The sequence below is a fragment of the Homo sapiens genome, chromosome 1 (genome assembly GCF_000001405.40).
Source record: "Homo sapiens chromosome 1, GRCh38.p14 Primary Assembly".
Taxonomy (NCBI): Eukaryota; Metazoa; Chordata; class Mammalia; order Primates; family Hominidae; genus Homo; species Homo sapiens.
Genome location: NC_000001.11, coordinates 47129984 through 47150678, shown reverse-complemented (window position 1 = coordinate 47150678; position 20695 = coordinate 47129984). Strand labels below are relative to the sequence as shown.

Below are 20695 nucleotides of genomic sequence, written 5' to 3'. Positions count from 1 at the left end.
GTATTCGGTTACAGTAACACAAAACACAGCAAGACAGGCTCTTAGCTCAGCCTTGCTGTGATTCATCTTGAATCTAAATCTTGAATGGAATGGAGGCCTGGAGTCTTTTCCCTACAGGTGTGAGCTTCTCCCTCTGATCTCCTAGATAAATATCGTTTGTCTAAACTCAGCTACCATGGGAGCCCCAGGAGCTGGAGAGGGTGTGGGCACCAGGGGAGACATGGTATGAGGCTGTGTGCAGGGGGATGGATCAAATCAGGCCCTGCTAGGGTTCTGGCACCAATGGGCACACCTCATCTCCGTTTTCCCTCTTCAGTAGGGATTTATCTCCCTGCCTTAGTGTCTCCTCTTCTAACCCTATCACCTTCCATGTGAAGCTAGACAAAGCATGCAAGCTTGTGAACCTTATTCTAGAGAGGAGGGAAGATAGAGGGATTGTCTGGCTGACAATCATGTACATAGGTAGGTAGCATACAGGAGAGATTTAGATGGACACATCAGATGACAATCAGGTAGGGGCTGTGCCAGGATGAACAATGGGGTCTCCATGTTGTCCACATCCTAATTCATGAAACCTGTGATTGTGGGACTGCATATGTCACAATGGACTTTTGAGTAAGTAACGGATCTTGAGGTGGTGACATTATCTTTGATTATCTTAATAAGCTTGATGTAACTAACCACAAGGGTCCTTATAAGAGGGAAAGAGATGTGAAGACAGTCACAGAGAGAGAGATTTGAAGATGCCATTGGCTTTAAAGAGGAAGGAGGGGACAGTACCAGGAATGCAAAAAAAGGCAGCTCTGGAGCTGAAAAGCCAAGGGCTCTCCCTGAAATCTTCTAGGGGTGGGGGTTTGGCCCTGTCCAGAACTTGTTTTCATCCAGTGAAACCCATATCTGACTTTGACCTCCAGAACTGTAAGAGAATAAAAAGCTGTTATTTAAAATCACTGAGATTGTGATAGTTTATTACAGCAGCAATAGGAAACTAATATAGGAACAGACAAGCAGGCAGGAAGAAGGAGACAGGTGTATGGGCAGACAGTCTGGAGGGCAGGCAGGAGTTTGGGAGGTGGGTGGAGATTCAGGGATGTTGGGGTTATCGGACCCAACACCAGGTTGTGGGGGTGACAAAGTCCGGCAGAGTCAAAGGAATGAGAAAAGACAGTTTGAGAGAGAAAGTGGGTCCAGGGCGCCAAAGCTAAGTATGGAGGCTGTGAAGGCCCCGAGCTCTGGAAGTGCAGATTATTTATTGGTGATCAAACAAAGAAACAGGTGGTGAGAATGGGGGGTGGGTCGAAAGGGCATGTTGCATTAAGCACATGATTTACAGCTGTGACGGTTTAGCATCTGCTCTGTTACTTGAGATAATGGAGAGCAGGTTCTTTTAACTCAAGATACAATTGATCCTGGGAGAGCAAGGAGCGAGGAGCCAGCAAGTCCAGACACATTCCAGAGCCACGAGCCCTGGATTCTATCCAAGCCACGAGGGGTTTTATGCCCCGGGCTTAGATTATGGTGCGTCAGGGTAGCCTTCCACCCTTCAGCACAGAGCTTGGTGTTCCAAAGGCCACAAGGGGTTTTAGACCCTGGATCCTGGACATGATTCAAGACTCTTTTACATTATGTCAGACATGCAAGCTCGGCCTCAGCTTCTCCCAACACTCAGCTTTTCTCCCAACAAGATATACAGGTGGGTAGGAGACAGGTAGACAAGCAGGTAGGGAGCTTGGAGAAAGGTGAGAGAGAGAAGGGCAGGCAGACTGGGGGACAGCAGGCAGGTGGGAAGAAGGGAAGGTGGGCAGACAGAAAGCAGGACAGAGGCAGACAGGCAGGAGATAGGAGTGGGGGTCAGGAAGACAGGATGGCAGGTGGAGGCCCTCAAAGCTGGTCCTTGTCTTCACAAGGGTTAGGGAGCCTCCTGAGACGCAGGTGGATTCCATTTTTGGATTTCAACACAAGTCGTGCCATGGGGATGGGGATCCTGGTGGGATCAGGCAGCAGCTCAAAGCGGAGCAGGGTCAGGGCCCTGGCCACCTTCAGCTGGTTCATGGCAAATTGTTTCCCGATGCAGTTCCTGGGCCAGGCGGAGACAATGAATTGAGACGTGTCCTCAGGCCCCATTCTGATCTGAGCAGGTTTTGGCCCCTGACCCCAGCCCTGAGCTGGACATTCAGTGCCCAACCTCATGTGTCCAGCCCCTGCACACTTACAGCCCACGGACACTTCTACCCCATCCTGGCTTCACACTGTCCCAAACCTTGGACAGAGCCGTCTTCCTGGGCTAACTCCTAACTCCTACCTTCTACCTCTGCTCTCAGCAGCCTGAAACCCTCTATCAAGACAGGGCCAGGGCTCTAAGGCACAGAGTCTAATCACATGAATAAATAAAGAGTTAATCAATGGTTTGTTCACTCCTCCACAAACATTTCTTGTTCTCCAGTGCGGAGGTCAGTTCAGGTCCTGTAGGGTGAGGGTGGGCCACACTCTCAGGTGCTTCCCACGTAGTGGGACACACAGGGACCTGAATCCTCATAGGGGGTCCCCGATGGGTGTATTAAGGGAGTCAGAAGGGCAGTGGGAGGCTTCCTGGAGGAGAACTGGGTGGGTGATCCTCAGTGTTGCCCCACCTGCCTCCCACCCCAGGGTCCGGGCTCCTGTCTAACCTCACTCCTCCATCCACCAGCCCCTGTAGCCTTCTAACTCTACTCCAGAAACGTCCATCCTTGTCCTTCCTCAGTCTTGTCACTTGGACTTTCTGGATTTCTGCTTCCCCTCCCTGCACACTGAAGCCACAGCCCAGCTCAGACCCTCCCACGCTCTTCATCACAGGTGGGACAGCATCCCAATGCCTCAGCCGGCAGACAAGCCCTCCGTGGGCTCTTGCCTCACCCACATTTTACCTGTCCAGCCCACATCCTAGCCCTGTTCATGTGGAGATGGCTGAGAATGTCCTCCCTCCACCTCTGCCTGCCACATCCTCAAGGCTAAAGTCACAGCCCAGCTGCCTCTCACTCCCTGCCAGCTGGGCCTCTTCCTCCCAGGCCCCCAGGTAGCATTCGTGATTTGTCCATGAACACTCACAGTCCAGTGCCACGGACAGCACCAGGGACAGGGACACTCAACAAGCCACTCAGTGAGTGAATGAGTGAAAGAATGGTTGATGGAACGATGTGTGTCTGGAGCACAGGATATATTTCTGTACAACACATTTTTGTACCTTTTATCTCTGTTTTCTCATCATGCTGCATAGGACTTGACCCAGAGAGGTAGCTTAAGAAATACTTTAATATTTGAATGATGTTATTTAAGTTTTAAAATGAATAAAATAGAATGAAATACACTGAGAGTAAAATATTAGTTCTGAGCTAGAAATGGAGCTTAGGAATGCTCTCCGGTTCTCTAGTGGCAGCGACATGATTTGCAGGCAATGTTTACAAGGACTTCCTCATGCTGGGATAGACAGACCAGTGCTGGAGAAGGAGTTTCAGGAGGAAGCTTTCCTGTTCCATGTAAGTGGACTCACCATTTGAAGAAGTCACATAATTATTTCTTTGAACAAACTTTGTTTCTACTAAGAATTTTTATCATTTTTGCCTGTGTGTATGTCACAGGACGATTCCTGATGCCACGATGATTTCCACCGCAGCCATTCTGGAGTTTTCCTCTCCAGCTCAATAGCTATTTCAAGTGTGTTTTATATTTCACATACCAGGAGGCTTCAAATGTTGTGCGTTATATGATAATTATTGGGCTTTTCTCTCCAAGACAGTGTACTGTTCACATTTTTATGTTTTTGGCCAATATTGTGCTAAGTGGATTACAGGACTATGGTATAAAGATCTCAAGGCATGTACAGAATTTGCCAAATGGGGAAATAGATGTAAATATGTGAACACTATATAATGAAGTAAAAATGTCATTGGGCAAGACAGAAAAATGTATGATATGACACACACTGTTGTAAAACTTTCTTCAAAGGGCTACCTTAACCTCTCCCTTATATGGCTTGAAAGGTAGGACTTGCAGGTCATCTGTATTATAAACAGATGCAAAGATTTCAATGATTCATCTCTACGACAGACTAGTGAATTAAATAGGGAAGGTAGTGTGCTGCATTGAGGATGTGTGGGGAGAGAGAAATCTACAGTTTACTATTCCTGACAACTGAGAAAAGCAAACAGCTGAAGTTGAATTTACTGGAGAATATCTAATTTTGAGAATTCATATCCTTAAAGTGAGGAAAATACATGAATATACTGAAGTTTGGAACATGCACTGACAGTGAATTCAGGCTGCCCATTTGAAGAAGCAGAGGGAGCAAAGTCTCCATGGGGTGCTCTGAATGCCACCTTCCTTTTGTACACAGAGACGCCCACACCAGGTGCCTGACTTTCCCACAAATACCAATATTTAAGAGCACACCTGAAGATGCCACATATGAACATCGGGCTCACAAAGATCAGAGGGTTGACCAGAGACTTCCCTCATTTCTCTATTCCAATTACCACACAGGACGTCTCACCTTGATCCTCCTGAGAAGGGCAGGAAAGCGTGGCTGTGTTGAGCAGAACCCGGTGCAAAACGGGAAGGGTCAAACACCTGCAGAGAGAGCACCAGAGCCAGGATAGTTAAGGATCCAGCACCTACTTGCCACCCATGAGGGTACAGTACTCCCAGAGGTGGAAGCAGGAGAAGGTATTGGTCTTGAGAGATCACCCCATTTCCTCCTCTCAAGGACCACATACCTCTAGGTTGGGCCACACTTTTGGGTTGTGGTGAAGGCCATAAATGGAGAGGAGGACCATGATACCTGTGGTGCAGGTTGGAAAGAGAGAGAAGACCGATCATTTGCATGGGGTGGCCTGGTACTTCAGCCTGCAGGGGCAAAAGAAGGCCCAAAACACCTACTTTCTATAAATTGTCACTTTGACTAGGATGATTCTGCCATTATGCAGGTGGGTTAGGCTTGACAAAGCATGTGAGTTCAGATGATGAATAGACAACCATTTATGCAGGAATGAGAAGCAAAAAAGAATCAGAGCATTACTCTTTAGAGTAAGTCCAGTGACATTTCACATTCATCAAATATTCTCCAAGGGTCATTGGAGAATATACATGAACTCACTCAATACAACAATGCTCCAAGGAAGACATTCTTTTGCTCTCAGTTTTCAGGGGAGATACCTGAGTATCAGAGAGACCAATTGTCTTGTCTGTGTTCACACAACTAGGTTATAGCAGGACTGGGACCAGAACTGGGGGAGTTGAGGCTTGGTGGCCCCAGATCTGGTCATTGGCTGCTCTCTGCCATCAACCTGAGGGTTCCTCAGAGACTGGACAACAGCTGACCCAGGAAATGAGATTCCTGATAAGCCTCTTTTGCACTGACCCCATGAGGAAAGAAACACATCCCTCTCTGCCCTTGTCTGATTCTCTTTCCAGCCCTGCACATCTCAAGGAATAGGATTTTACAGTTACTGACCCAAGGCCACATTCAGAGATTAACATTTATTTCTTGAACTTTCGGTGGGTTCAAGCTCTCGGCCAGACTTTTCAAATTCATCCTAAATACAAAGTATGTTTTTGATGTTTTTAGAACAAAAGGGAGACCCAGAGATGTGCAGAACTCTGAAGCACACATGGATTTCTCACCCTCCACACGTCCCCGTGGAGACTTTGGGTGAGAGGGTGGGGAAACTTCATACCTTTGGGCAAGGAGCGCCCATCAGGGAAGGTGACGGGAGTGCTGAGCTCTCTTCCAATGCCTGGCACCGGTGGGTAGAGCCTCAGTGCCTCCTTAATGCACATGGTGGTGTAGGGCATCTGGTCCAGGTGGTTCCTGAAACAATTCCATCCTGAACACCAGCAAGGCCTGGGCAGACCAGGGGCCCCTGTGGAGAAGGCAGGGAACCCCATCTTTTGAGCCCTCACTCACCAGGTGATGGAGGCTCCATCACCCAGGAGGCCATGGATCTCCTCCCGGCACCTCTCCTGATGCTTGGGGTGTGTGGCCAGAGCATAGAGGATCCAGGAGATCCCACTGGCTGTGGTGTCGTGGCCCTCAAACATGAACGTGTCCACCTCAGCACGGAGGTCCTTGTCTGACAAGATGCTCCCATTCTCCATCTGGGAAGACCGTGGTGAAAGTGCAGGGCTTGTCTCTTGCTATGTACTTCTGGGCAAAGACTCAGGCCTCTCCTACACATACTCACTTTGGCCAAGAGGAGGATGTCCAGAAAATCCAAGTGCCTCTTCCTCTTGATCTTCTCCAGCTCCCCCTCCTTCTGTAGTTGAGCCTTCCTCAGTTGGATCACTTGGTCTGTACCAGAACAATGGTTACCAGGCAGAGCTGAGACCGTCAGCAGCCCCCAGGAGGCCTAGCTGCCCAACTGCCCCAGTGTGGGTGCCTGGTAGATCTCAGCATGAATGTGAGTGTGGGTGCAGGGTCAGGGGTGGAAGCTCTAGTACTGTGTGAGGCAGGGCACCCCTCCCACCAGTGGCACAGTTCATGGAGGCTCCTCTTGAATGCTGTTTGGACAGGGTCTCATTCAGTTATCTCCATGTGGGGACATTGATAAACCAAGGCACAGAATCCGGCCCCTCACATCTTGGCTCCCAGCCCCTGAGCAAGGGAATTCCCCAGGCTGAGTGTGTTCTGGCTTCTGCAGGATTACTAGGGACCTTCTCTGCCTGAGGAGTCAGGGCAGGTACTTTCACTGTGCCTGGGAAAGGCTGGGAGACAAGAGGAAGAGACAGAACCTGTGTGCTGATGGGCCAGCTGGCAGGCGCGGTGTGTCCAGCGGCCAGCAGAGGTCAGGCTGTAGATGGTGTCATTCTCATGAAAGGCATTCCTCATACAGCAAAAAACCAGGCTGTTCAGGTCACTAATGGCCTGGATGTAGGACTGAGAATTCCTGAGGGAGAGTATGAAGAAGAGACCGCAGTAGGGGTGGGCCCATTACCCGGAAGTAGAATGGGGTCTGAGAGGAGGCAGCCTCGGATAATGGGGACAAGCAGCCTTGAGGCAATGTTTCTTCTATCTTACAGCCCTATTATCCTTTGGCCTTTATCAGATGGTATGAACATCCAGGGTCCACCTGTGCTAGGAATTAGGCATCTGTTCCTGAGACTTTGTTTGGTCTGGACAGGAATTAGAGTTTGGTCAGGGACTGACTCTTCCTTTGTGTGGCGGTGAGCCTTCACGCTGCCCCACCTGCCCCTCAGGTATGTGCACTCCACTTGATAAGAACAAGGGCCCTGCAGCTGGAGGGTTGTCACTGACCTGTCCACCTGGATGCTGCCCTGATGGCTGAAGGCACTCTTCATGATGGTGTCCAGGGTCATCAAGGAGACGTGCTGAAAGACCTCCAGAGGGGAATCCTGGCCAAGGAGCTCTTCCCATTTGTCCTGTGGTGGGAGGGGGCATGGACCTTCTTAATCTCCAAGAAGTGCTTTGCTAATAAGGCCTGGCTTTTTCATGTACCTGCAGATATCTTGTTTTTTCCTGTAGCTTGCAGATATCTTGGTTGGGATTCTTCACTTTACAGAGCAGATGCATTGTAGAAACTGGGACTGTAAAGCCAGTGTTGGTAAACTGACACCTAATTCTCACACACTTTTAATACAACATTCAACAGATCCTCTCACAATAGCATGGATTAAGTATTGAATTTTGAGATTCAGTTAGGACATATGCTTGTGAAAATTTTGTTGTTATTGTTGTTCTGGGATAAATAATGGGGGACTCTTCAGTGTTCTGAGAGCTGAGCTAGTTCTGAGGGACTAGTAGGACACCAACTTTAGGGCAGAAAGTTTCAGTGCCAAAGATAGCTTAAGGGGCTAGTATGGGCACTGTGTTGTAGAGAAAACAGGGACTTCAATTCTTTTCCATTCATCAAAATGTGCTGGGCACAGTTGGGTGAGAAATCAGAGTCCTGACTGGAGATGATGCTATCTATGGAAGGTATTGCTCTGAGAACATAGACCTGGTGTTCATTTCCTTCCCAGGGTGGCTTAAATCCATGCAGAAACCTGGGGCCCCAGGCCAGAGCCTGGGTGGGTGACATCTTGGCCTGTCCATGCTGCCACTGAAGCTGCCATTGCCCAGGCCAGCCAGCATAGGAAGTCCTACTGTCCAACAAGATTGCATATGCCTCCAGTCCCTTGTGCTGAGGTTCCAAAGTGGGAGGAGAAGGGCCTTGTGTTCACCATGAATCTCTATTCCTATGGTGGGGAACAAAGTGTGGATATGACCTGATGCCTGGGTGTTCTCCTACCTTATACAACTCTGGGGAACCCTCTACTCTCACAGCAATGACCTGAGAGTGTTGTTCCATGTGTCTATGTCTATGGCTGCCTGTGGGACACAGGGTTGAGAGTGGAGTTGGTGAGAGTGTGTGCTGTGAGTGGGTGTGGGGAGAGGAGAGAGACATGGACTCACCAGCATCACTCGTACAGAGTCTGCCATGAGCCCCACGTATGGCTTCAGGATGTCATTGTGGAAGGCTGGGGTCAGCATCCGTCGATGCTGGAACCATGTCTGCCCATTCAACAGGAGCAAGCCGTACCCTAAGGTAGACACGAATATGTGTATGTGTGTGTATCAGAGGCTGCACGGACCTAGGGATGACTGGTGACAATTTGGGAGGGAGAAAGGTGGCTTCCTGGGGGAAGAACTATCCAGAAGAAGCCACATCATGGGCAAATGCAGGAAAAGGAGGTATATTTCAGGCATGTGAATTTTCTAATTGAGCTGCTACATCCATGTGATTATGACAGCTGTGAGATAAAGGTTGAAAAGGGTTGTGGGCAGATGTAAAATAAATGTGAAGCCAAGGATGTCTGGAGAGAACTGAGACATGAAATGGAAGAAGCTGAGCCTCAGGAAGGTTTGCACCAGCATTAGGAAGGGGTGAGGGTCTTGTTAGAAGAGGGAAATGAGGCTTGATTTGGGGATGAGGTCATGATAGTGGTGGCCTCTAATCTGTTGTTCTCTGTGAGCCAAATAAATAACTCAAACCTAACTAGGGAGTGGGCTGCAGTCCTAGTTTGCACACATACCAATCCGTGGAGCCAGGAATTTGTAGGATCCATGGGATTTCGGGTCTGAAAAGTAAGAAAGGGCTTTATAGGAAACTAGGAGTTACTAAGAAGGCAGTCTCAGAGGCAGCATCAGTTCTTGGTGTCTGTCAGTTGGCAGTTTGACCCATGTCACCTCCCACTTGACTCCCATCCACTTCTATTTCTGTCCTGAAGGTCAATGTGGGCTCAGGAAGACAGACTCAGTGTTCCAGCAGGAAAACACCCAGAGGGCTAGGAAGGTGAATTGGTGAGATACATAGGCTAGGTCTTCAATGACAATGAATAATACAGAGCCATGGGTTTTTCTACATTGATGTTTTCCTAGTCACCTCCTGACCAGGACAGGCAACAATTAGAGCTTCGAAACCCAAGTCAATGTGGGTATGAAATTTGTTTTACAGATCTGGGGCAATTTACGTTTCAGAAAACCTCAATTTTCTTAATAGAGAAATAGAAAAAAGAATAGAAAATTCAGCCCCACATATTGTTTTAAACATTCAGTATTCAGTAAATATTTTTGACTACAGCCTGGGCATGGTGGGCTTGGTGGATGCGTGGGAGAGGTTTCAGATATTGATGTTTGAACAGCCACTCTCTTCTGGAATTTTACAGACCCAGGGGCATGTGTCAAGAGGGAAGAGAAATTGCAGTTGGGATGGGGGTTCGATCTCACCTGATCTCCCCAGAATCACCTTCATATAGTCAGGGTCATAGAGCTGGACACGAACTTTGCCTCCCCATATCCAATAAGGACAGGCACTTGGGAATGTCTTCACCCGTTCCTGAATCCGTTGTAGCTCCTGGTCGTGTTGGAACTGTCAACGAGGGTAGACAGATGAACACTTTCATTTACTTCTAGTCTTTGCAGCAGGAGTGAAGGGCAGGACAACTACAGGAGCCATGTAGCACGGGTTAGGGATTTAGATCTGTTTCTGATGACCTGAGCTGTGATCCAGATTCTTTGTATCTCCCCAGGACTTGACCTTAGGCCAAGCGCTATGAGCCCTCACTCAATGCTGCCAGCAGAAATTTAAGTCAGCCATTGTCTTCATGTTGTGTAACATCTCTGGAAGTCATAAATACAACAATTTCCTTGGGCAATGTGCATAACTCGTATTACTTGATGAGCAGATTTGTAAAATCATTTGGTATATCTAGAGAATAAAATGAATTAATGTGAACATTTTAAATTACACAATAATTTTATATAATCATACTTGTTATATTTTCAATATTGTCCCAGAATATATGGTAAATATTTGTTGAGATAAAATAGCATTTGGGATGTGTATGGCTAAGCAAAAAAAGATTAACTATAAAATTGTGTGCATAATAGTATTCTACATGTTGAATATGTACAGATTTATGGGATGGAGTCTGAGTATATGCATATGGTGCTGGTGTTGGACTATAATTTTGAGATTTGGGTTTCTTATTCTCATTTTCACTTATCAATGAATTATGAGCTCCCTGCTGCCTGCAGTCATCTTTCTAAACTCTTCGATGTGGATCACAAAGCCCTTGGCTTTCTGGCTTCAACTTCTCTTTTCTTGCCTCCAGCCCTGCTGGCAATTCCACCATCACCCGTTTGTTTCAGCTCCAACGCCGATGCCACCACTGCTGCTGATTCACACACCAGCTACACCTGCTCACTCTTCTGGGCCCTGGCACTTGCTCTTTTCTCTACCTTGAATGCCCTTCCATCTGCCACAGAGCAGCCACCTCTCCTCAGCTTTCAAGACTCAGCTTTGCTTTAATCTCATCTGGAACCCTCAAAGACATTGGGTCCTAGTGATGTTCCATGTAGCCAACTCTTCTTTATTTCAACTGCTTCTAGTAACTCAAAGCAACTGTCTACCACATAAGTATCTAATGTCTGCCCACCTCCTTCTGATAATCATATTGTCCAGCTCTGAGGCAGCTTGCCCTACTGTGGGGTAGGCTCCTTCATTCAGCCCATGCTTACTGCACACATACTATGTGCCCAGTGTGGCTCAGGCACTGCGTTAGGACACAGCTGTGGTCCTTATCTGTGTGGAATTTTCAGTCTAGTTGGGGGGTAAGGAAGATTAGAGGCTGTGCAGTAGGGGATAATGGACATGAGATGGAATGAAGGACAAGCATCTGGGGAAGCTTTGAAGAGGGACCTAACTCAGAACTGAACATTAGAAAGCTCTTCCTCACTCACTGAGTCATCATTTACTGAGGGACTATTAGGTTACAAACATAAATCAGAGATGGTCTCTCCCAGAAGAATCCCACACTTATGACACTGCAGAACAGTAACTAAGTCAAGTTAACACTGCTCTGGCCTCTTGAGGATAGCCCATAGAAAAAAGAGTCGGCCCTTCACTTCTGGGAGACCCAGGAGGCCTTCTTGAAGAAGGTAGCTTGGTGCTGGGCCTTGACCGATAGATATGAGTGAGAAAATAATTCCAGGTAGCAAGCACATTGTGATCAGAGGCCTAGAGGTTGAAATGCAGAGGCAGGTAGTGAGGTAGTGAGTAACATATGGTAAAAGAGGAGAATGGGAAAGAAGGTGGAGTGGTATTGGGACCAGTCCATATAGGGCTAGAACTTTGTCAGGTCCCCACATTGGTTCTGCTCTGCTGAGAACTATGTTGCCTCCTTTGCTGAGAAACAATAGGCCTCAGCTCCCTGCAACCCCTATCTCTACTTAAGTGTGTTCAATTCATAGCACCTTGGTGAGTCCCTCTCCATGCAGCCGTTTACCTTGCTCTGTTCCTACCCGCCCCTCTCCCCATGCAGGGATAGCAGTGCACAGGGGATGGGCTGTGTCCCTCCTCAGCCCTCTTGCTGCTCCTTTCTCTTCTTCCTCTGTTCCTCTACACCTGGTGTGTCCAATCTTTTGGCTTTCCTAGGCCACATTGGAAGAAAAATAATTATCTTGGGCCGTGCATAAAATACACGAACACTAATGATAGCTGATGAGCTCAAAAAAATTGCAAAATAATCTCATAATGTTTTAAGAAAGTTTACGAATTTGTGTCGGGCCACATTCAAAGCCATCCTGAGCTACATGCAGCCCCATGGGGCATGGGTTGGACAAGCTTGCTCTATTCACCTGAGCTGACCATCAAGCTGTGCCAGGATTTTGCTGATTGCCGGGGCACAGGAAGGGGATGACATGCTCACCTCCAGGGAGCTCACAGTCTGGGTGCGTGGGAGGAGAGCCAGGAGGTCAATACACCCTGTTCAATGTGCAACTCAAACACCAGTCTCCTCACTTGGAGGACATTGTGCAGGCTGCCCCCTTCATGTGTACCCACAATTGTCAGGTTTTCAGGTCCTAAATCACCTGTTGTGGAAATTCCGTGAGCCTTGGGGAAACTTACTTAGCCAGTTGGTCCCCTACACCAGCAGATCTCTGCCTCAGATATCCACCCCAGCAGAGTGAGCTCTTTTCCTGCAGTCTGACACCTTCTCAAATTCCTGCCTGTATTCTTCACAGACCATGAACTCCTCATGGCACAGAGTCCTCAGATGGGTGTCTGTGCTCCCAGGCAAATGCAGGGCCAGGCAGAGACAATGGCATTGAGTGACTGGACAGGGAGCATCTAGAAGCCTTGTTCTTTGAGAAAAGCCAAGGCTTATGGGGTAATCAGTCTGGAGACAATCAGGCATTGCCCTCCATGTGCAGGACTGCCAAGACACACTTGATATCTGCAGAAGGAGGGCATGTGTGATAGAGCTGAGGACCAGCAGGATGGGCTTCATGGGAGGAGTGAGCTCCTCATGACTGGGACAAGCTGAAACCAGAGAGGTAGGCTGGGTGTTCCTATGAGGCCTCACGTTTGTTACAAAACAAGGCTTTGCTCTATGGATTTTGTGACCAGGGTCTCAGAGCCGCATCCCTCCTTGCCCTCCCACTCCCCCACTGAGTTCCTCCCTACCTCCTGGATGTGCCCGAAGAGCCAGTGGGAGGGAGGGCACGGGAACTGCTGGAGGGCTTTGAGCAGCCACTGCCTATGCAGGTAGAGCTGAGCTGCCTTGATCAGCAGCAGAAGCAGAATGAGCAGGGAGGTCACTTGGAGGATCCCGGAGACACCACCCAGGCGTCTGCTGGGGCTCAGGACAGAGACACTCATGGTGCAGCACCTGCTGGATCTCTGAGTGCCCCTTCCTCTCTCTGACCACCCCTGTCCACCTGTGCTTAAGTCATGGGAGGATTGTCCCGCCCACTTGTGGGGAGAGTGAAGGGGGAGGGCAGAACTTGGACCTCAGAGTTCAGAATCGATTGACTTTGGATGATCCACCTAGGGGAACAGTGGGAGAACAGCTTCATCAGCTGTCTACCACATTCCCCTGTCCATGTACCTCACAAATATTTAATGAGCATTTACTGTGTGCCAGGCAGTATGCTAGGGGTGTGGGCACCGCTGCGAGGAAAACAGACTTGAATGCTGACCTCAAGGAATTTGCATTCTGCTTTACTACATTGCAATAATGTTCATTCAGTAGCACTTTTTTTTTGTTATGTGTTCAAAGAAAATTCTCAACATGATATGTATATTTAAACTTAACATTAACCAAGCCCTGAATCATTACTTTTGTCTTATTGCAATCTAATTTTATTTACCATAAAAACCACTTCCATCTATATATTGAGTGAGGAGTGGGAATTATGTCTTTCTATTAACTGGATGATGATATGGACAAACAGATGCTAACATGGCAGCTGTTCAAGTACTTTATTTTATTCCATTGGGGAGACTGGTCTCATAATATCCATAGCATGATTTTTTTCTCAATTCATATACATGACAATTTAAAAAAATTCTACATCATGTTAGTTATGACTTTTTCCCCCATTGATAGGTCTACCTTCTCTACCAGAGAAAGTCCTAGAGCAATTTTAGTCCTACTTCAGTCTAGTACTATAGCCACAGCAGGAGCCTGTTTACCAATTCTCTTTCATCCTACAATAGTATGTAATTATACAATCAGAACTTTGCAGTCTGTTTAGGAGCCCTGACTAAGGACAATCTGTACTAAACAGAAATTAATATTTAAAAAATGATTTCTTTGTCAACCTCAAGTAAAGTAGGTTAAATAGTAACTATTGCTATGAATTAACCCTCCCTGGCATTTTTACATGCATATCTGTGCATGAGCATTGTTTTTGTTCCTCTTTTTATAATTTCAACTTTTATTTTAGATTCAGGTACGTATGCAGGTTTTTTACACTGGTATATTGTGTGATGCTGAAGGTTTGGATACAAATGATTCTGCCACTCAGGTAGTGAGTATGGTATATATTAGTCAAATTTCCAATGGTTACTCATATCTGTACCTACCCCTCTAGTAGTCCCCAGTGTCTATCATTCCCATATTTATGTCCATAAGTATCCAACATGTAGTTCCCACTTATAAGTGAGAACATGTGGTATTTGGTTTTCTGTTGCTGTGTTAATTTGCTTAGGATTATTGCCTCCCAATTCATCCATTTGCTGCAAAGAACATGATTTCATTATTTTTTTTTTACAGCTGCCTAGTATTCCACTGTGTATATGTATCACATTTTCTTTATCCAGTCCACCATTGATGGGCACCAAGGTTGATGCCATGTCTTTGCTATTGCGAATAGTGCTGTGATGAATGTATGAGTAGAGGTGTCTTTTTGGTAGAGCAACTTATTTTCTTTTGGATAGATAGCTAACATTGGGATTGCTGGGTCAAATAGTACTTCTATTTTAAGTTCTTTGAGAAATCTCCAAACTGCTTTCCACAGTGGCGGAACTAATTTACATTTCCACAAACAATGTATACACATGATTTTTTTTTTTCTGCAGCTTAGCCAGCATACGTTGCTTTGAAACTTTTTAATAATAGCCATTCTGACTTGTGTGAGATGTGGTTTTCATTCACATTTCTGTTGATTAGTGATGTCGAGCATTTTTTTCAATATTTGTTGGCTGCTCATATGTCTTCTTTAGAGAAGTGTCTGTGTCTTTAATGGGGTTGTTTGTTTTTTGCTTGTATTGGAAGTTCTGGACAGGTAAGAGAAAGAAATAAAGGGTATTCAAATAGGAAAACAGAAGTCAAATTGTCCCTGTTTGCAGATGACATGATTGTATATTTAGAAAACCCCATCGTCTCAGTCCAAAATCTCCTTAAGCTGATAAGCAACTTCAGCAAAGTCTCATGATACAAAATCAACATGCAAAAATTACAAGCATTCCTACACACCAATAAGAGACAAACAGAAGCCAAATCATGAGTGAACTCCCACTCACAATTGCTACAAAGAAAATAAAATACCTAGGAATACCACTTACAAGGGATGCGAAGGACCTCTACAAGGAGAACTACAAAACACTGCTCAACAAAATAAAAGAGGACACAAACAAATGGAAAAAAATTCCATGCTCATGGATAGGAAGAATCAATATAGTAAAAATGGCCATACTGCCCAAAATAATTTATAGATTCAGTGCTATTCCCATCAAGGTACCATTGACTTTCTTCACAGAATTAGAAAAACTTCTTTAAATTTCATATGGAACAAAAAAGAGCCCGCATTGCCAAGACAATCCTAAGCCAAAAGAACAAAGCTGGAGGCATCATGCTACGTGACTTCAAACTATACTACAAGTCTACAGTAACCAAAACAGCATGGTACTGGTACCAAAACAGATATACAGACCAAAGAAACAGAACAGAGGCCTCGGAAATAACACCACATATCTACAATTATCTGATCTTTGACAAACCTGACAAAAACAAGCAATGGGGAAAGGATTTCCTATTTAATATATGGTGCTGGGAAAACTGGCTAGCCATATGCAGAAAACTGAAACTGGAACCCCTTCCTTACACCTTATACAAAAATTAACTCAAGATGGATTAAAAACTTAAGATGTAAAACCATAAAAAGCCTGGAAGAAAACCTCAGCAATACCATTCAGAACATAAGCATGGGCAAGGACTTCATGTCCAAAACATCAAAAGCAATGGCAACAAAAGCCAAAATTGACAAATGGAATCTAATTAAACTAAAGAACTTCTGCAGAGCAAAAGAAACTGTCATCAGAGTGAGCAGGCAACCTACAGAATGGGAGAAAATTTTTGCGATCTATCCATCTGACAAAGGGCTAATATCGCGAATCTACAAAGAACCGAAACAAAATTCACAAGAAAAAAACAACCCCATCAAAAAGTGTGCAAAGGATATGAAACGACACTTCTCAAAAGAAGACATTTATGTAGCCAAAAAACAGAGCAAAAAAAGCTCATCATCACTGGTCATTAGAGAAATGCAAATCAAAACCGCAATGAGATACCATCTCATGCCAGTTAAAATGGCAATCATTAAAAAGTCTGGAAACCACAGATGCTGGAGAGGATGTGGAGAAATAGGAATGCTTTTATGAAGGGGTGGCCTGCCCCTCCACACCTGTGGGTATTTCTAGTCGGGTGGGACAAGAGACTGAGAAAAGAAATAAGACACAGAGGCAAAGTATAGAGAAACAACAGTGGGCCCAGGAGACCGGCACTCAGCACACCAAGGACCTGCACAAGCACCAGTCTCTGAGTTCCCTCAGTTTTTATTGATTATTATTTTCAATATTTCAGCAAAAAGGAATGTAGTAGGAGAGCAGGGTGATAATAAGGAGAAGGTCAGCAAAAAACATGTGAGCAAAACAATCTATATCATAATTAAGTTCAAGGGAAGGTACTATGCTTGGATGTGCACGTAGGCCAGATTTATGTTTCTCTCCACCCAAACATCTCAGCGGAATAAAGAATAATAAGGCAGCATTACTGCAAACATGTCTCGCCTCCCACCATAGGGCGGTTTTTCTCCTATCTCAGAATTGAACAAATGTACAATCGGGTTTTATACCAAGACATTCAGTTCCCGGGGCAGGCAGGAGACAGTGGCTTTCCTCTATCTCAACTGCAAGAGGCTTTCCTCTTTTACTAATCCACCTCAGCACAGACTCTTTACGGGTGTTGGGCTGGGGGACAGTCAGGTCTTTCTCATCCCACGAGGCCATATTTCAGACTGTCACATAGGGAGAAACCTTGGGCAATACCCAGCTTTCAAGGGCAGAGGTCCCTGTGGCTTTCCGCAGTGCATTGTGCCCCTGGTTTGTTGAGACTAGAGACTGGTGATGACTTTTACCAAGTATACTGCTTGTAAACATTTTTTTAACAAGGCACGTCCTACACAGCCTTAGATCCCTTAAACCTTAATTTCATACAGCACATGTTTTTATGAGCTCCAGGTTGGGTCAAAGTGGCTGGGGCAAAGTGGTTGGGGCAAAGCTACAAATTAACAACATCTCAGCAAAGCAATTGTTTAAAGTACAGGTCTTTTTCAAAATGGAGTCTCTTATGTCTTTCCTTTCTACATAGCCACAGTAACAGTCTGATCTCTCTTTCTTTTCCCTATACTTTTACACTGTTGGAGGGAGTGCAAATTAATTCAACCATTGTGGAAGGCAGTGTGGCAATTCCTCAAGGATCTAGAACCAGAAATACCATTTGACCCAGCAATCCCATTACTGGGTATATACCCAAGGGATTATAAATCATTCTACTATAAAGACACATGCACACGTATGTTCATTGTGGCACTGTTCACAATAGAAGAGATTTGGAGCCAACCCAAATGCCCATCAATGATAGATTGGAAAAAGAAAATGTGGCACATATACACCATGGAACACTATACAGCCATAAAAAAGGATGACGTCACGTCCTTTGCAGGGACATGGATGAAGCTGGAAACCATCATTCTCAGCAAACTAACACAAGAACAGAAAACCAAACACCACATGTTCTCACTCATAAGTGGGAGTGGAACAATGAGAACACATGGACACAGGGAGGGGAACATCACACATGGGGACCTGTCTGGGATGGTGGGTTAGGGGAAGGATAGCATTAGGAGAAATACCTAATGTAGATGACAGGTTGATGGGTGCAGCAAACCACCATGGCACATCTATACCAATGTAACAAACCTGCACGTTCTGCACATGTATCTCAGAACTTAAAGTATAATAAAAAAATGAATTGTTTAATTTCTTTAGGGATTCTGGATATTAGACCTTTGTCAGATGCATAGTTTGCGAATATTTTCTCCCATTCTGTAGGTTGTCTGTTTACTTTGTTTATAGTTTCTTTTGCTGTGCAGAAGCACTTTAATTAAGTCCCACTTGTGAATTTTTACTTTTTTGCAATTGCTTTTGAGAACTTAGTTATAAATTCTTTCTCAAGGCTGATGTAAATCATCATGTTTCCTAGGTTTTCATCTAGGATTCTTATAGTTTCAGGTCTTACATTTAAACCTTTAATCCATCATTTTTTTTTTTTTCGATCTTGGCTCACTGCAAGCTCAGCCTCCTGGGTTCATGCCATTCTCCTGCCTCACCCTCCTGAGTAGCTGGGACTACAGGCGCCCACCACCATGCCCAGCTAATTTTTTGTATTTTTAGTAGAGACGGGGTTTCACCATATTAGCCAGGATGGTCTCGATCTCCTGACCTCGCTATCTGTCCTCCTCGGCTTCCCAAAGTGCTGGGATTGCAAGCATGAGCCATCGTGCCCAGCCCCTTTAATCCATCTTAAGTTAATTTTTATATGGTGAAAAGTCAGGGTCCAGTTGCATTCTTTTGCATATGGTCACCCAGTTTTCCCAGTACAATTTATTGTATAGGGAGTCCTTTTCCCATTGCTTATTTTTGTTGACTTTGTTGAGGATCAGATGGCTGTAGGTGCATGGCTTTATTTCTTTTTTTTTCTCTTTTTTTAAAATTTTATGTGTTAAAATGTTGATTCAGAGGGTACATGTGCAGGTTTGTTACATGAGTATATCACATGATGCTAAAGTTTGACCAAGGTAGTGAACACAGTACCTAATAGGTAGCTTTTCCATCCTTTCCCCCTCCCTCCATCCCATCCCTTTTTGGAGTCCTCAGTGTCTACCATTCCCATCTTTGTGTCTGTGTGTATCCAATGTTTAGGTCCCAGTTATAAGTGATAACATGCGGTATTTAGTTTTCTGTTACTGTGTTAATCGGCTTAGGGTAATGGCTTCCAGCTGTATCCACGTTGCTGCAGAGGACATGATTTCATTCCTTTTTTTATATTATATGTTAAGTTCTAGGATACATGTGCACAACGTGCAGGTTTGTTACATATGTATACATGTGCCATGTTGGAGTGCTCTACCCATTAACTCCTCATTTACATTAGGTATATCTCCTAATGCTATCCCACCACCCTCCCCCCACCCCACAACAGGCCAATGTGTGTGACCCTACCTTTCCTTCTGACTCATACCTCCTGGGTCCTGACCATGACTTTCTTGAAAGTGTAGCCCCAAAATTCTCCTAACTTCTGAATCGACTTCCTCTGATCCCTACCTCCTAGACACTAATGCTTCAGGCTTTCACTTCCTCTCCCAAGTATTAGAGCAGGTTGTATCTCCAAAGGGATCTAAGGAAGCTCTATGCTGCATCCTCAGGCCCCTAGGCTATAAACCCAGGGAGTCTTGTCCCTGGTGTCCCTCCCAATTTAGGCATACAGCTCTCCACATGGGCAGTTATGTGGGACCCGTTCCCCACAACCCTTACCAGGGTCTTAGAACTGATAACCTAGTATTTTAACAACTGAAACAGGGTCTACAACAACATAATAGATCAGGATGAAAACAAATTGAGTAAATAAAAGGGAGGCGCATATTCATATAGTGGCAAATGAGGGCAATGAGCGAACATCCTTCCACTGTGTTTCCAAAATGCATCTACAAAGACAGAAAGGAGAAAGAAAGAGAGAAAGAGAAAGATAGAAGTAGTAAAGAAAAAACAGTATATCCTATTTCTTTAAAAGCCAGGGTAAATTTAAAACCTATAATTGATAATTGGAAGTTTTCTCTGTGACCCTATAACACTCCAATACCACTTTGTTGTCCGTGTAAACAAGGGCATAGCCCAAAAGCACTGAGGCCACTGACAACCAGTAGCCTTCTTATCAAAAATCCTTAACCCAGGAACCTGCAGATGGCCGAAATGCATTCATCAGTTGCAGCGACTGCTTTGCTAACAGAAGGAAGTAGAAAATTAGCCTCTAGAGGAAACCTCATTGTGAGCCCACCTCACCAGTTCAGAACTATCCTAAGTTAAAAAAGCAAAAAGGGTAGGTTGCTAACTCAAAAATCTCAAAGTATGGGGCTATTCTGTTAGAAAAAGATAATTTAACATTAACCATTGAAAATTCCCTTACCCCAGCAGATTTCCTAACAGGGGATTTAAATCTTAATTACCATACAAAGGCCCAACCAGATCTAGGAGGAACTCCCTTCAGGACAAGACAATAGATGGTTCCTCCCAGGTGATTGAGAAAAAAACACAATGGGTATTCAATAATTGAGGGAAAGTCCTGTAGAAGCAGAGTTAAGAAAATTGCCTAATAACTGGTCTGCTCAAACATGCAAGCTGTTTGCACTCAGCCAAGCCTTAAAGTACTTACAGAATCAAAAAACTCTGTCTCAATTCTGACTCAATAGGTTACCCACACCCTCTCTGAAATGAATTTGCATAAGAGAGAACTGTTGCTTGTAGGAATGCATCTTGATGGG

At 45.3% G+C, this 20695-nt stretch overlaps 1 protein-coding gene and 1 long non-coding RNA gene across 7 annotated transcripts in view; one reads left to right on the top strand and one right to left on the bottom strand.

The window, feature by feature from the left end:
• Nucleotides 1–20695, top strand: part of CYP4A22-AS1 (CYP4A22 antisense RNA 1) — an 84084-nt gene that overhangs the window by 28945 nt on the left and 34444 nt on the right. The window lies entirely within an intron of this gene.
• On the bottom strand, nucleotides 952–13238 carry CYP4A22 (cytochrome P450 family 4 subfamily A member 22). 5 transcript variants are annotated; one of them, NM_001010969.4, is made up of 12 exons: nucleotides 12999–13238; nucleotides 9758–9899; nucleotides 9064–9108; nucleotides 8444–8571; nucleotides 7286–7410; nucleotides 6763–6917; nucleotides 6216–6322; nucleotides 5939–6129; nucleotides 5709–5842; nucleotides 4749–4813; nucleotides 4526–4602; nucleotides 952–2077 (listed from the first exon to the last, which is right to left on the bottom strand). In NM_001010969.4, the coding sequence occupies exons 1-12, from the start codon at nucleotides 13191–13193 to the stop codon at nucleotides 1882–1884; spliced, it is 1560 nt and encodes a 519-aa protein (NP_001010969.2). In that variant the 5' UTR covers nucleotides 13194–13238; the 3' UTR covers nucleotides 952–1881. The 5 variants fall into 5 exon arrangements, with proteins under 5 accessions (NP_001010969.2, NP_001424386.1, NP_001295031.1 ...); NM_001437457.1 differs by lacking the exons at nucleotides 5939–6129; nucleotides 6763–6917 and having other exon boundaries at nucleotides 5709–5894; NM_001308102.2 differs by lacking the exons at nucleotides 952–2077; nucleotides 5939–6129; nucleotides 6763–6917 and having other exon boundaries at nucleotides 3197–4602; nucleotides 5709–5894.

Coding starts and splice junctions, on each gene's coding strand:
- CYP4A22 (NM_001010969.4), bottom strand. CDS start 13,193: ATGAGTGTCTCTGTCCTGAGCCCCAGCAGACGCCTGGGTGGTGTCTCC. Junction 9,900..12,998: donor TCTTCGGGCACATCCAGGAG/GTAGGGAGGAAC, acceptor CCTCGTTGACAG/TTCCAACACGACCAGGAGCT. Junction 9,109..9,757: donor GGTGATTCTGGGGAGATCAG/GTGAGATCGAAC, acceptor CTTACTTTTCAG/ACCCGAAATCCCATGGATCC.